This window comes from Homo sapiens, chromosome 11, assembly GCF_000001405.40.
Source record: "Homo sapiens chromosome 11, GRCh38.p14 Primary Assembly".
NCBI classification, from domain to species: Eukaryota; Metazoa; Chordata; class Mammalia; order Primates; family Hominidae; genus Homo; species Homo sapiens.
This window is the reverse complement of record NC_000011.10, coordinates 71,870,075-71,885,287: the sequence shown is the minus strand read 5'-3', so window position 1 is coordinate 71,885,287 and position 15,213 is coordinate 71,870,075. Positions and strand designations below refer to the sequence as shown.

General features: G+C 36.0%; 2 protein-coding genes and 1 long non-coding RNA gene across 6 annotated transcripts in view; 2 read left to right on the top strand and 1 right to left on the bottom strand.

Annotated features, from left to right (window-relative positions):
• XNDC1N-ZNF705EP-ALG1L9P (XNDC1N-ZNF705EP-ALG1L9P readthrough) overlaps nt 1–15,213 on the top strand; it is a 123,614-nt gene that overhangs the window by 43,307 nt on the left and 65,094 nt on the right. The window lies entirely within an intron of this gene.
• The window catches only part of XNDC1N (XRCC1 N-terminal domain containing 1, N-terminal like), a 63,086-nt gene that overhangs the window by 43,307 nt on the left and 4,566 nt on the right, over nt 1–15,213 (top strand). Inside the window, exon 6 of one of the 2 annotated variants that reach the window (NM_001375847.2) lies at nt 667–4,584. The exons of the other annotated variant lie outside the window; for it this stretch is intronic. Coding sequence (NP_001362776.1) covers nt 667–849 — 183 coding nt within the window. The 3' untranslated portion in view covers nt 850–4,584. Of the gene's footprint in view, nt 1–666; nt 4,585–15,213 lie in introns of those variants that run through there. 2 annotated transcript variants of the gene reach the window in all.
• On the bottom strand, nt 727–6,835 carry DEFB131B (defensin beta 131B). Its single transcript, NM_001242853.1, has 2 exons — nt 6,778–6,835; nt 727–881 (listed from the first exon to the last, which is right to left on the bottom strand). Exons 1-2 carry the CDS (start codon nt 6,833–6,835, stop codon nt 727–729), a joined length of 213 nt encoding a protein of 70 aa, NP_001229782.1.

Genomic DNA, 15,213 nt, shown 5'->3' with positions numbered 1-15,213 from the left:
TTCAATATCACAGAAGGTGGACACACCCCCACTGATATTGTTTCTAATTGCAACTTGGGAGAGGAGGATATGACACGCGATATCCCAGGGAGTAGAAACACCCCTTTGATACTGTTCTTAATATTCAGGGAGGAAGAAGATGATATGACACCCAATACAGACGGGTGTACAATCTCTGTATACCCAGGGTGTACACCGGTTTGTGAAACAGTTCATAATCTCCAGAGCGGGAGATGATATTACTCACAATTTGATAAACAGGCTGTGTATCCACCGCGGATCCTAAAAACCAGGGGGGCAAGAGGGGCTGGCTCTTACTCCCTGCATCGTGGGGGGCTCCTCATCCCCCTGCAATGGGGGTCCTAAGAGTCAGAGGGGCAAGAAGGGCTGGCTCTTACTCCCAGCATCGCTGGTGGTGCCTCACCCCCCTGCGATAGGGGTTCTAAGAGCCAGGGGGGCAAAAGGGGCTGGCTCTTACTCCCCGCATCGGATATAGTACTATGGGTGAAACAACAATGTGGCTGTGGATGTAAATTAAGGGAGTAAATGTTAAAATGCACAAATGAAAATAGAGTGTAAGCATTTATAAAATTTATATTCATTTTCACCTGACCATCTAAACATGCAATTATAATAATTTTCATCTATCATGTTAATTATTCATAGATAAGAGAGTTTAAGACATGTTTTTTCTCCTGGAGTCTGAAGAAGATGGAGTTAGAATTTTCACCACTTCTTTTGTCCATCAATTTGAATGATCTTCAGTTTGCAGCAGATGCTGAAGTCAGCACAGTATCTAATTGCATGTTCATCAGCATTGCACTTCAGTCTGCAATGATAATATTCTGAAGGACATTCATCATTAGAAGTGAAGCTTCTGGCTTTAAAAAGAGAAGACAAATTATATGACACAATATTACTTACTTTTTATGTTTAAATGTCTGAAATGTTTTATAATAAATTAAAAGCATTACAGAACTTTCCCAGAAAAACAAAAACAACAGCAAAAGAATGCAAGAGAAAAAGTGGAGATGCTGAATAAAGACAAACGATGATTTCTTCTGTAAAGAGAGTAGTAAATGAGGCAGTAGTTGGAAATGTACAGAATTTTAAATGAGAACTATTACCACATATTTCTACCTAAAATGAATTATCCAGCTTGGGGGTGGTGTAGAGATTCATAATGCAGGAAATAATGTTTAATTTCTGGAGTTAAATTCTTAAAAAAGTCATTGGGGATGGAATCTAGTGTAAGTGGAGGGGTTGGCCTTGAATCACAGAGTGAAGAGAAGGCAGATTATGGATAAAGATAAAACCATGTGAAGAGATATGGTGGTGGAAAAGTGGAAAAGCTATCTTTGGTTGCTTCTCTGTTCTTGGTGAAATGAGAAAAAAGAATCCTTAATTGAGAGAAGGGGTCAGAAGGAGTTGAGTCTTAGTTCCAGCTTCCCAGTGTATTCGGGCTCAAGGCCATGTCTCCTTTACTGAGGAAGTTACTGAGATATGGACAGGAGCCTATAACCCATAATCTCCCATAAATATTCCCTTTAAACATACCAATCCTTCCCAAATCCTTTTGTTACAATTTATAAGTTAAAATATTTGCCATGACCAACATCATGAAAGTTTCTCCTTATGTTTTCTTCTATAAGTTTTACAGTCTCAGGTAATTATGTTTAAATGTGTAGTTCATTTTGAATTGCTTTTTGTGTGTAGTGTAAGATACAGGCCCAGTTTTATTCTTTTGCATATGAATATTCAGTTTTCTTAGTACCACGTATTGAAGAAACCATCTTTTCCCCATTATATATTCTTCGCATGTTTGTTGAAGGCCAGTTGACTTTATAAGTGTCAGTTGATTTCTTGGCCCTCTATTCTCTTCCAGTGGCCTATATGTCTATCTTTATCCCAGTAGCACACAGTTTTGATTACTCTATCTTTATAATACATTTTGAAATTAGAAAATGTGATGCCCCTAGCTTTGTTTTTCTTGCTCATTGTTTTGACTATTCTGGGTCCTTTGTGGTTTTATATGAATTTTAAAATTGTTTTTTCTATTTCTGTCAAGAGTGCCATTAGGATTTTGATAGGGATTGTATATAATCTATAAATTGCTTTGAATAGTATGGATATTTTAATATTATTATGTCTTCCAATTCATGAACATAGGATATCTTTCTACTGATTTGTGTCTTCTTTAATTTCTTTCATGAATGTCTGCAATTTTTAATGTACCAGTCTTTCATCTTTTGGTTAAGTTTATTCTTAAATATCTTATCTTTTTCTTGCTATTATGAATGGGATTTTCTTTACTTGCTTTCCAGTTGCTTGCTGTTAGTGCTATAGAAACACAACTGGTATTTGTAGGTTGATTTTCTATCCTGCAACTTTACTGAATTTGTTATTAGTTTTAATAATTTTGGGGGAGTGAAGTTTAGGGTTTTTTACAAAAAAATTATGTCATTTGGAAATAGATAATTTTACTCATTCCCACCCCCCAACAGTTTGGATGCCATTTATTTCCTTTTCTTGCCTAATTGTTCTTGCTAGAACTTTTAGAATCATGTTAAATAAATGTGGCAAGAAGGGGCACTTTTGCCTTGTTCCTGATCTTAGAAGAAAAGCTTTTAGTTTTTCACCATTGAGTATGAGTGAAGAATTTCTTTTTACTTTTATTGTAAGGTAGGACTACTGGTGACAAACTCTATTTTTGGTTACCTAAGAAAATTATGTATTTTTACTTTAATTTAGAGGGTAGGCTGGGCATGGTGGCCTGCACCTTTAATCCTGGCACTTTGGGAGGCCAAGGCGGGCAGATCACCTGGGGTCAGGGGTTCAAGACCAGCCTGGCCAAACTAGTGAAACCCAGTCTCTACTAAAAATACAAAATTAGCCAGGCGTGGTGGTGGCTGGCTGAGGCACGAGATTGCTTGGACCCAGGAAGCGGAGGCTGCAGTGAGCCAAGGTCACTGCCACTGCACTCCAGCCTGGGTGACAAAGTGAGACTCTGTCTAAAAAAAAAAGATAATTTTGCTAAGTAGAGAGTTTTAAGATAGTGTTCTTTTTTTTTTTTTAACATTTTAAATATTTCACTTTCCTCTCTTTTTGCTTATGTGGTTTAAGAGAAGTCTGATGTAATTCTTATCCTTGGTTGTCCATAGATAAAGATTTTTTCCCCTCCTGGCTTCTTTTAAGATTTTCTTTTCGTCTTTGATTTTTGGCAGTTTCAATATAATATGCCTATGTTTAAATTTTTTGTATTTATCTTGCTTGGTATTCTCTCAGCTTCCTAGATATGTAGATTTTGTTTATTTTCAATTTTGGGAAAATCTCAGTCAGAATTTCTTCAAATATTTCTTCTGTTCCTTTCTTTCTCCTCCTCCTGATACTTCATTACACATATATTTTTCCTTTTCTAATTGGCCTACACTTATTAAATATTCTGTTCTTTTTAATTCTTTTTTCTTTGCTTTTAAGTTTTGGAAGTTGCTATTTAAAATTCTTTAAGCTCACTGATTCTTTCCTTGATCATATCAGTCTATTGATGAATTCATTGTTATGGGCTAACCAGTTTTCCTCCAAAATTTGTATGTTAAAGTCCCAATCTTTAGTATCTCAGAATGTAATCATATTTGAAGATTTTTTTTTTTTAAGGACTGATAAAGCTAAAATGAGACTCCCAGGGTATGGCCCTCGTGCAATATGGCTGATGTCCTTATTAGAAGAGGAAGAGACACCAGGAATTCATGTGCACAAAAAAATGCCATAAGAGGACATGGCAAGAAGGCAACCAGCTGCAAGCCAAGACAGGCCTCAGGAGAAACCAAATGTGCTGACGTCTTGATCTTAGACTTATAACTTCCAGAACTGTGAGAAAATGAACTTTTGTTATTTAAGGCACCCATTATGTGGTACTTTATTATGATAACCCTATAGCAATGCAAGAATGGCCTAATACATCTATATTTATATTGGACAAAATTGACTTTAAGTGAAAAAACATAAAAAGAGACAAAGAAGGCCATCATATAATGATAAAAGGGCCAATCCAGCAAGAGGATATAAAAATTCCAAATATGTATATATATGTACCCAGTAGTGGAATAGATATATTAAAAATGTCATTAGAGCTAAAGAGAGAGATACACCTCAACATCATGATAACTGAGGGCTTCAATACCCCACTTTCAGCATTGAACAGATCATCTAGGTAGAAAGCTAACAAATAATCATCAAATTTAATCTGTACCACAGAACAAATAGACTTAACAGACATTTACACAACATTTCATCCAAAAGCTGTGGAGTACACATTCTTCTCCTCATCACACAGAACATTCTCCAGGCTAGACCATATGTTAAGACACAAAACAAGTTTCAACAAATTTTGAAAAATCAACATTATATCAAGTATATTCTAGACAAAAATAGAATAGAACTAGAAATGAATACTAGGAAGAACTTTGGAAACTATACAGATAACATGGAAATTAAACAACATGCTTCTGAACAACCATTGAGTCAATGAAAAAACTCAGAAGAAAATAACAAATGTTCTTGAAATAAATGCAAATGGAAACACAACATACCAAAGCCTATGGAATACAACAAAGACAGTGCTAAGAGAGAATTTTACAGCAATAAATGCCTACTGCAAGAACATAGTAAGATTATAAACAAGCTACTATGCACCTCAAGGAACAAGAAAAACAAGAAAAAATGAAATCCAAACTTAGGAGAAGGAAAGAAATAATAAAAATCAGAGCAGGACTAAGTGAATTCGAGATTTAAAAAATTCAAAGAATTAATGAAACAAAAAGTTGACTTTTGGAAGAGATAAACAGACTTTATAAACTGCTAGCTAGACTAACCAAGAACAAAAGAGAGAATGCCAAATAAATAAAATCAGAAATAAAACAGGAGACATTACAACTGATATAAAAGAAACACAATGGATCATTAGAGTCTGTTATAAACAACCATATGCTAAATAATTCATATGATGAAATTTTTTTTACCAACACCAATAATCAATCTAACTTTCCCAAATTAATTTTAAAATCCACCAATACTTTATAATAAATACATATTAAACTGTGGTTTATACCTGAGATTTAGATTATCAATTGACTTATTTATCTTTTCTGAGGCACATGTTACCTCAGAGCACATTTTAAAATTTATTTCAAGATTCCATCATTTATATAATTATACAGAATTATACTTTTCCTCCGTGAATGTTGGTGTTTTATATTTTTATTGAGATAGAATTTACTATAAAATTCATTCCTTTAGAGTGTTCCATTTAGTGAGTATCAGTGGATTCTTAAAGTGGGATATACTGATGACCACTGAATGAAGGAATGAAGTACGAATCTATGCCACAACATGGATGAATCTTGAAAACATTATGCTAAATGAAAGAAGGCAGACATGAAGGATCAGATATTTATTATTCTGTTCATAGTAAATGTCCAGAATAGGAATATACATAGAGACAAAAATTAGATCAGTGGTTGCTAGGGACTGGGAGGAGGAGAGATTTCTTCTTGCGCTGATAAACATATTCTGGAATTAGATAATGGTGAGGGGTGCACAATTTTAAGAATACACTTGATAACCACTGAATAGAACACTTTAAGGCAATGAATATTATGGTAAATTTTATCTCAATAAAAATATAAAAAACCCACTAACATTCATGGGGGAAAGGCATAATTATTTATAATTATATAAATAAGGGAATCTTGAATCATGAAGTATTATATAAATGAGGGAATCTTGAATTGTGAAGTATTAAAATGTGCTTCAGAAATGATCAATAAGTCAACCAGTAATCTAAATCTCAGGTATGAACCACAGTTTAATATGTTTTTATTATGGGGTATTGATGAATTTTAAAATTAATTTGGGAAAGTCATATTGATTATTTAATAAATATGCTTATATATAATTGGCTAGTTTTGTGGTTAAAAATTAAGGTGGAATCTTAACTCTCACCATACAAAAAGTAATTTCCATATACATTAAATGATATCATATGAGTTTTATTCAACTTTAAAGGAACACAGAGGCTAGGTCCTTGCCTGGATCAGTGGTGAATTTATCCTGTGAACCAAGGATTATGGTGGAGCATCCACCTCTTCACCTCTAGCCCTTCTTCTAGTCTTCATTCGCTTTTCATTTTTCCAATTCTTTAAATTTCCTGTGTTCTGTGTGCATCCTCTCACCATCTTTTGATCAAACACAACTCTCAAGTAAGTTTATTTTTTTTTATGATTATTTTTTGAGACAGGGTCTCACTCTGTTGCCCAGGCTGGTGTGCAGTGGCATGAACTAAGCTGAATGCAGCCTTGACATCTCAGGCTCAAGCGATCCTCCTGCCTAAGCTTCCTGAGCAGCCAGAACCACAGGCACGCGCCACTATACCTGACTAATTTTTTGTATTTTTTTTTTTTTTGTAGAGATGGGGTTTCACCCTGTTGCCCCCACCGGGCTGGTCTAGAACTCCCAAGCTCACCCACCTCAAACTCCCCAAATGCTGGGATTATAGACATGAGCCACTGTGCCTGGCCTCAAGTGAGTTTATCATAGGTTAAATCACTGCAGTGAACCACCTTATTTATTTCTTTAGTATCAACTCTTCAATCTTCTGAGCAGCCTTCATGGTACAGTAAAATCTGCCCATGCCTAATTTATTTTCAGACTCTTGAAAGACCTTGCATTTTCTTTTACTTATATTTTTAGAACTTTGGAATAAAAAAGTTTCTGCCTTACTTGGAGGAACTGTGGACATCAAGGAAAGGACTCCAAAGACAAAAAACAAGACCCTCATGGTTGAATAGGTAAAGCAGGTTAGAGAGAATCAGTAGTTGAGATGAAGAGGACTTCTGTGTACATTCAGTCCTCTGAAGAGGTGAGTTGCTGAGTGATTATTGAACCTTTCAGGAGCAATAACATTTCTGTGTTTCAATGAGATTTTATATCAGGAGACAGCATGCAATCATCATGACTATCAGTCATTTAAAGTACATTTATCAAAGGTCAACAGGGTGTGTGCAAAGGTAGTAGAAAGCACAGCCATGGCAAAGGCAGGAGAGAGACTTGAAATATCAGCATTGTCTTATGCATTCTGGAGGAACTGTAAAAGTTAAGGAAGCAGTTATAGAGGAAAAGCATTCATTTTATTTTTCTGATAATGGGAAGAACCACGTAATACAACAGCATGCCTATTTATTACTATTTTGGCACCGTGTGTTAGCATGCTTAAGCAATGGAATTATAAACAGACTAGTGAGATACAGAAAAACTTTTATTTGATTATCTTTCTGTCCAATCGATCGAATGAGATAAACTAATTTTTATATTGAAACCTAAGTTAACACAAATTGTTTTCACATCAGTTATATGTAATATGAGAGGAATTAAAGAAAGAAGAGTGGGCCTTAGGGAACCTATAATACACTTCGGAAAGCAAATAATATATACAAAGAAACGGCAATGCAACACGAGCATATTTCTGACAGAGAGGCACAAATTACTTCTTAGACACTAAGGAAATGAACATAAACACCAGAATACTTTGGGTGCCGTAGGGAATGCTTAAAGAGGGTATGAGTAAACTTTATTTATTTATTTATTTTTTATTTAGAGACAGAGTCTCACACAGTTGCCCAGGCTGGAGCGCAGTGGTGCGATCTTGGCTCACTGCAACCTCTGCCTCCCGGGTTCAAGTGATTCTCCTTCCTCAGTCTCCCAAGTAGCTGGGATTACAGGCACACGTCTCCATGCCTGGCTAAGTTTTGTATCTTTAGTAGCAATAGTGTCTTGCCATGTTGGCCAGGCTGGTCTCGAACTCCTGGCCTCAAGTGATCCACATGCCTCGGCCTCCCGAAGTGCTGGGATTACAGGGGTGAGCCACCACGTCTGGCCAGAATATCAACTTCAGAGACTGCAAAGTACATGCACATTCCTGGTCTTACTTGACCTTCATTCCTTTCTAGATGGTTTCACTACAGGTGAAGTAAATTTTCTCAGTACCAAGAAGGAAGTTCTCTTTCTGCCATGGCTTCTTCTTGGTGCTACTTCTATAATACTTCAGAGTGTTAGTGAATGGAACACGTGGTTACATTATTTGAGCAGGTCCTCCCTGCCTTTAGAGACTTTGAAAATGAAATCTTGAGTCAGGGATGGGGAGGTCTTGGAAGAGGCAAACTTCCCAAGTCTTAGCCTAAGGAGGGCCAGTGAGGGGCATGAAAGCTCTGGAGATGTTTTTTCCTAAACCTCCATTCAGTTCCTTCCTCCTGAGTTGCTGGGGCAGCGGTGCCTGGGCACAAGCCTCTGCCAGCACCCTAGAAACTCAAAGGGGGATCTTAGGGTCATTGTGCTGGTTATTGCTGACTGCTCCATTTACTGAAGCCAGAATGGCCTAGGATCATTAGCATCTCTGATCAAGAATCCAGCATTTACTGCTTTTTCTCACCTCTCTGAGAATTATTTCTTTCTTGATCACGAGGAAAAGCTTTGGAAGTACAGTTTACACTGCAAAGCAATACAATTTATGGGAACAAATAATTGAAATCCTTTATGGAACACTAAGGGCATAATTTTCACTGCTTGATATTTTCTATGAACATTTGTTTGCCAGCCTGATGTAGGCTGGTGTAAATGTAATTGTGGTTTTTGCCATTACTTTCAATGGCAAAAATCGCAATTATGTTTGCACCAACCTAAGAGATTTGGAGCCAGGAGGCAGGCTTGGAATTCTGCCCAGGAAGCCCAAGAACATTGTGTAATCCATGGGCTACCAATCACGGATATCAAAGAAGGGTCAGAGGAAGGTTCACTGCATTCTGGGGGTGGACCAGTAGGTACCAGATGAACATCAAAAGATGGCTTAGATTGCAGAGGGCTTCAGCAAAGAAAGATAAAGTGCTTTGACCAATGACTTTTCTTAAAAGAACACCAAGAAGAAAATCAGATAGCTATCAAGCTATCAAATATAAGCTGTCACAGTAGAAGAAGAATGAAGGTAATTTACCATTAGATAATTAAATTTGACCTAGAAATTATAGAGTTTTATTGCACATAACTCTCCAGGAAGACACCAGATTTTCAATAAACAATTTATAATCAAGTATTCATTGTTTACCTTCCTTTCCTGCCTTCAGCAGTACTGACAGCTTTGGGGACTTTGATGCATTAATTATCTATTTTTCTTCTTGTTGATGCCGGTTTTCTTTTTCTTATTTATTTATTTATTTGAGACAGAGTCTTACTCTGTCACCCAGGCTGGAGGGCAGCAGCATGATCTCAGCTCACTGCAACCTCCACCTCCAGGTTCAAGTGAATCTCCTGCCTCAACCTCCCATGTAGCTGGGATTACAGGTGTGTGCCACCACACCCAACTAATTTTTCTATTTTTGGTAGAGATGAAGTTTCACCATGTTGGCCAGGCTGGTCTTGAACTCTTGGCCTCAAGTGATCTGCCTGCCTCTGCCTCCCAGAGTGCTGGGATTACAGCAGTGAGCTACGTGCCCGGCGCTGCCAGCTTTCTAAATCCATTGTTTTCCTTACTTTAAGTCTGTCAATATCCTCAAGTTCCTGCCATGTTAAAAACAAAACACAAAATTGACTTTCCTGTATTTAGTTTTTTTTTTAATGAATGCTTTTCCCTTTCCCCCTCAGGAAAATCATAGTCTCTATGCTTCATTTCCATTTTATCTTTCATTCACTTCTTACCCCACAAGTGGCTGACATTTTCCCTCAGCTTTCCATTGAATATACTTTTGCTAAGTCACTCACAAGTTTTTCTCTGTATAAGAGTAGACAAACACATATATGCCTATATCCTATAAGTATATTTTATTTTTATTGATTCCTAAATATTATTTCATGTAAAATTGGAAAAAATAAGATTATCTGATAATAGATATAACACATTACTTGATCACTTAAAAGATCATTACTATTTTAGTTTATTTACTTTCCATTAAATTTCTCTCTCTCTTATTCTTGTGATTCACCTATAGCTTTATTTATTAATAAGTATTACTTTATTATAAATATTTTCCTATACTATTTTCAAATACTCCAAAACAGTAATTTTTACTTTCTGCATAATATTCCATATTATGGATATTTCATAATATATTTATGTAATCATCCTTTCATTGTTGGGCATTGTTTTGTGTTTATAATTTCACTATTTAAATGTTATGAGATTGTCCCAGGGGGCTTCTCTACTATTTCCAAATCAATTTCTGGCTAGGTCTCCTGACCCAAGTGGCTGCTGGAGTTGCAGGTGTGCTTAACTTATATGGAGCGAGTAAAACCTTTAGTTCAATATGTTGTTAATTGAAAGGAGAATCTTAGTATACACTATTTTCCAGTATAGGTAAAAAATGGATAATAACTTTGTTCAACTAGCAAAATAAGAGAAAAAGATAGAAAATAAGGTAAAAATAAATGATAGACATAAGGTCAAACGAAATGAGTAAAATCACTCCATCAGTTGTTAGGAGGCAATTTTTTTTTCTCTTTCTGCACTTGAGTTGATCAAGTCTATAGATAGATTCTCTTCATAGCTATGAGAAGCATATTGGCACAAGGTTGCTGTCTCTCTCTGTGTAAATGAAGTATTAGCTCTAGCCTGGATGTTTCCTATAAGTTTCAGAATAAAAAAATTCAACTATTTACTTGACATCTACTTTTGGATGTCTAATAAGCAACTCAAGAATTCCAAAATGAATTTTTGATTCATACCACTTTCTCTGTTAATACTCACACTCCCCTTAGTCTTGCTCTCTCAGTGATGGGCTCATGTACCTAGTTGTTTGGGTTAAAAAACAAAAACGAACAAAAACTCTGAGCATACCTTTGATTCTCTCATTTAATAATTACAACCCATTAGCAAGCCGAGTTCTATCTTTAAAATATCTCTTTTATTTTTTATTTTTAAAAATTTTTGAGACAGAGTTTCACTCTGTTACCTAGGCTGGAGTGCAATGGTGCGATCTCTGCTCACTGCAACCTCTGCTTCCCAGGTTCAAGCGATTCTTGTGTGTCAGCCTCCCGAGTAACTGGGATTACAGGTGCTAGCTACCAATTCTCAGCTAATTTTTGTATTTCTTTTTTGTGGAGATGGAGTTTCGCCATGTTGGTTAGGCTGTTCTCAAACTCCTGTCCTCAGATGATCCGCCTGCCTTGGCCTCCCAAAGTGCTGGGATTATGGGTGTGAGCCACTGGGCCCGGCCTAAAATGTGTCTTAAATCCAACCTTTGTTCACTTCCCCTGTCATTGCACCATTGTCCAAGTCACTAGTGTCTCTGGAGAGAGCCCCTAACTTGTCTCTATGTTTCTATGAGAGCTTTGCATACTCTAATTTATGTTCAGACACCAGAGATATGTTTCTAAAATGCAAATTAAATCAAATTATTTCCTTATTGAAAATCTAATTACGTTTTTTAAAAAAACTACATAGAATAAATCCAGTCTGTTTACATGGCACACAATGTCCTACCTGATTTGGTTGCTGAATATTTCTCCGATATTTTTTTCCTGCTACTCTTCCCTCTTTTCATTCTGTTCCACACGTATTAGTTTTCTTGCTCTTCCATAAACATTTCAAACTCATTTCTACCTCATAGCCTCTGTTTTTACTATTACCATTGCAAGGATTATTCTTTTCTAAGATATTTCTATGGAAACTCTGTCCCCCTATTTCATTCAGTCTTTGTTCCTGTGTCACCATCTCAGAGAGGCTTTCCATGATTATTGAATAAATTCTAAAATAAAATTGATATCGAAAAGGGCATGCTCCCTGCAGCAAGTTGCTAATATCAGAAATCAATAACAATAAGATATATTCCCAAATTCATACATAGAGATATTCAAACACAACACATTCCTACATAACACTTGGGCTAAGGCATACATAAAAATGAATACAAAATAATTAGATCTGAAAAAACGGAGAGCACTATAAATGAAATCCTGTGGATTGCAGCCAAAGTGGTATAAAAAAGGACATTTATGGTTTTCAAGACATTTACTAGAATTCATGAAAGTATGAAAGCAGCATACTGCTCAACTGAAGAATCGAAATAAATAACAAAATAAATAGAAAAAAACTGAAACAAAATAGGAGGCAATAAACAAAAATAATATCACACATAAATAAGAAACAAAACAAAGCAAGAAACATTGTAGAGTTATTTAGTAAGACCACTAGGTAGTTTATGGGAAGATTCATATATTAGTTGAGTCTTAGGAAAACATCATGAGAAAAAGAGAAAAAAAATAATACAGGGAAGAAAAGGAACATAAACTACAGATAGAGAAGAGCTTTGATATCATGATAGAATCCTTTAAACCCTCTATCCTGAATATGTGAATGAAATGGACACTTTCAGGGAAATACGAATGAATAATATTGACCAAAACAAACTTACAAGTGGTCAATGTTGTATCCTTTTACATCCAAAAGGTGCTAGAACCAGCAAGATTTTATGTACAATCCTGAAGGAATAGATAATTCCTATTTCTTTTTTTGTTTTTTTGAGACGGAGTCTTGCTCTGTCACCCAGGCTATAGTGCAGTGGCGCGATCTCGACTCACTGCAAGCTCCACCTCCCAGGTTCACGCCATTCTCCTGCCTCAACCTCCCAAGTAGCTGGGATTACAGGCGCCCGCCACCACGCCCAGCTATTTTTTTTTGGTATTTTTTTAGTAGAGATGGGGTTTCCTCCTGTTAGCCAGGATGGTCTCGATCTCCTGATCTTGTGATCCACCCGCCTCGGCCTCCCAAAGTGTGATAATTCCTATTTCTTAAGAATAAATGAGATTACAGATTGAGCTAGGTGATTACTCAACACATTTTATGAAAGAGAATAAGCACAATATAGAAATTTCACAGGGGTAGTGTATTAGTTATTGTTGCATAACAAGGTTTTCCAAAATGTAGTGGCTTAAAACAACAAACTGATTATCACAAGTTTCTGTGGGATGAGGCTTAACTGGGTGCTTTTGGCTAAAGGTCTGTGTTGAGGTTGCAGACAAAAGCTGTCAGCTGGGGCTACATTTTAATCTGAAGACTGGGAGTGTGGGGGTTATATATAAACTCATTCACTGGCTTTTTTCTTGCAGCATAATGTTGTGGAAGTTCATCCATGATGTATCATCTATTAGTATTTGTTCTTTTTTATTATGAAATAGTATTTCTCCGTATAGATATAGTACATTTTGTTTATCCATATACTAATATATGGGATAGAAACCTAAGAATAGTATCATTAAATTGCATGATATATTCATATTTATCAGTTTTAAGAAAAGGCCAAACTATTTTCCAAAGCGGTGATACTATTTTATATTTCCATCAGCATTGTAAAGGGCCCTCATTTAGCCACATCTTCATGGACATATTTTATCACTGGTCATTTTTATTATAGTTATTCTAGTGTGTGTTAAGTGGCTTCTCATTGTGGTTTTAATTTGCATTTCACTAATGACTAATGATTCTGATAATCTTTTCATCTGTTTATGCCCATTCACATATTTTCTTTGGTGAAATGTGTACTCAAATCTTTTGCCTGTTATCTTATTTATTAACAAATTATTAATTATAAATTGATAAATTATAGTTGTCTTATTTATTGGGTACAAAGTGATGTTATGATTTATGAATTCAATGTGGAATAATTAGATCATGGTAATTCACACACCAATCACCTAAAATCATTATTTTTTTGTCTTGAGAATGGTTGAAATGTATTCTTTTGGCAATTTCAAAATGTATAATACATTTTTTACTATATTCACCATGCTGTGCAGTATATCTTAAAGAAACCTTATTCTCCTGTCCAGTTGAGGCTTTGTACTGTTTGACCATGATATCCTTATCCCTTTACCATCCCCAGGCTCTGGTAACCACTGTTCTACTCTCTGCTTATTTGAGTTTGATTGTTTTAGATTCCACAAATAAGTGAAACATGTAATATTTGTCTTTCTGTGGCAGGCTTATTTCACTTAGCCTAATGTTCTCCAATTCCATCTTTGTTGCTGCAAATAAAAAAGTTTCTTTTCTTTAAGGTAGAATAGTATTCTACTGTGTATATATACTATATTTTCTTTATCCATTTATCTGTTGATAGACACTTAGGTTGATTCCAAAACTTGACTATTGCAAAAAGTGCTGCAATGAACATGGAAATGCAGACATCTCTTCAATATACAAATTTCAAGTCTTTTCAGTAAATACCCAGATGTGAGATTGCTAGGTCATATGTAATTTTATTTTTATTTTTGTTCAGAAACTTATAAGTTTTCCATAATGGCTACACTAATTTACATTCCTACAACAGTGTGCAAGTGTTCCCTTTTCTACACATCCTCTCCCACACCTGTTACATTTCCTCTTTTCTGTAGTAGCCATTCTAGCAGGTGTGAGGTGATATCTCATTGTGGTTTTAATTTCCATTTCCCTAATGATTAGTGAGGTTGAACACTTTTTCATATGTTTATTGGTCATTTGTATGTCTTCTTTGAGAAATGTCTATTCACCTCCCATGCCCATTTTTTAATTGGACTATTTGTTTTCTTTCTGTAGAGTTGTTTGAGATCCTTATAAATTTTGTCTATTAACCCCTTATCAGATGTATGGCTTGCAAATATTTTCTCCCAATCTGTAGACTGTCTCTTTAATTGTTTTCTTTGGTGTGCATAAGCTTTTTATTTTGATTATAATGAAATTTGTCTATTTTTGCTTGCATTGTCTGTGCTTTTGCAGTTAGAACTTAAGTTAGAACTTTAAGTTAGAACTTAAGATGTCCAATGTCAAGTGCAGCAGGTTTCTCACCTCAAGGGACAAGAGAACAAAGCCAGGAGCCTGGTACCAGCTTCCCAGGATTAGGGCACACAGCCCCGGAGTAATGAGCTGAGCCTTGGCCCCCAGAAGTTTCCCAGAAATGAAGCCAGTCAACGGAACCCACCTTATTCCACAATCAAACCATCAAAGGTGTCAAAGAATATAAGAGCAAAAACCCCATCCAAAGGACAGTGATATGGTTTGGCTCTGTGTCCCCACCCAAATGTCACCTTGAATAAATCCCCATGTGTCAAGGGCAGGACCAGAAGGAGATAACTTAATCATGGGGTGCTTCCCCAGTGAGTGAGCTCTCATGAGATCTGATGATTTTATAAATGGGAATTCCC

What these genes read in the sequence shown, in the direction of transcription:
- DEFB131B (NM_001242853.1), bottom strand. Translation starts at nt 6,835, where the DNA reads ATGAGGGTCTTGTTTTTTGTCTTTGGAGTCCTTTCCTTGATGTCCACA. An exon ending in GATGTCCACAGTTCCTCCAA is followed by an intron (nt 882 to 6,777) that starts GTAAGGCAGAAA and finishes CTCTTTTTAAAG; the next exon opens with CCAGAAGCTTCACTTCTAAT.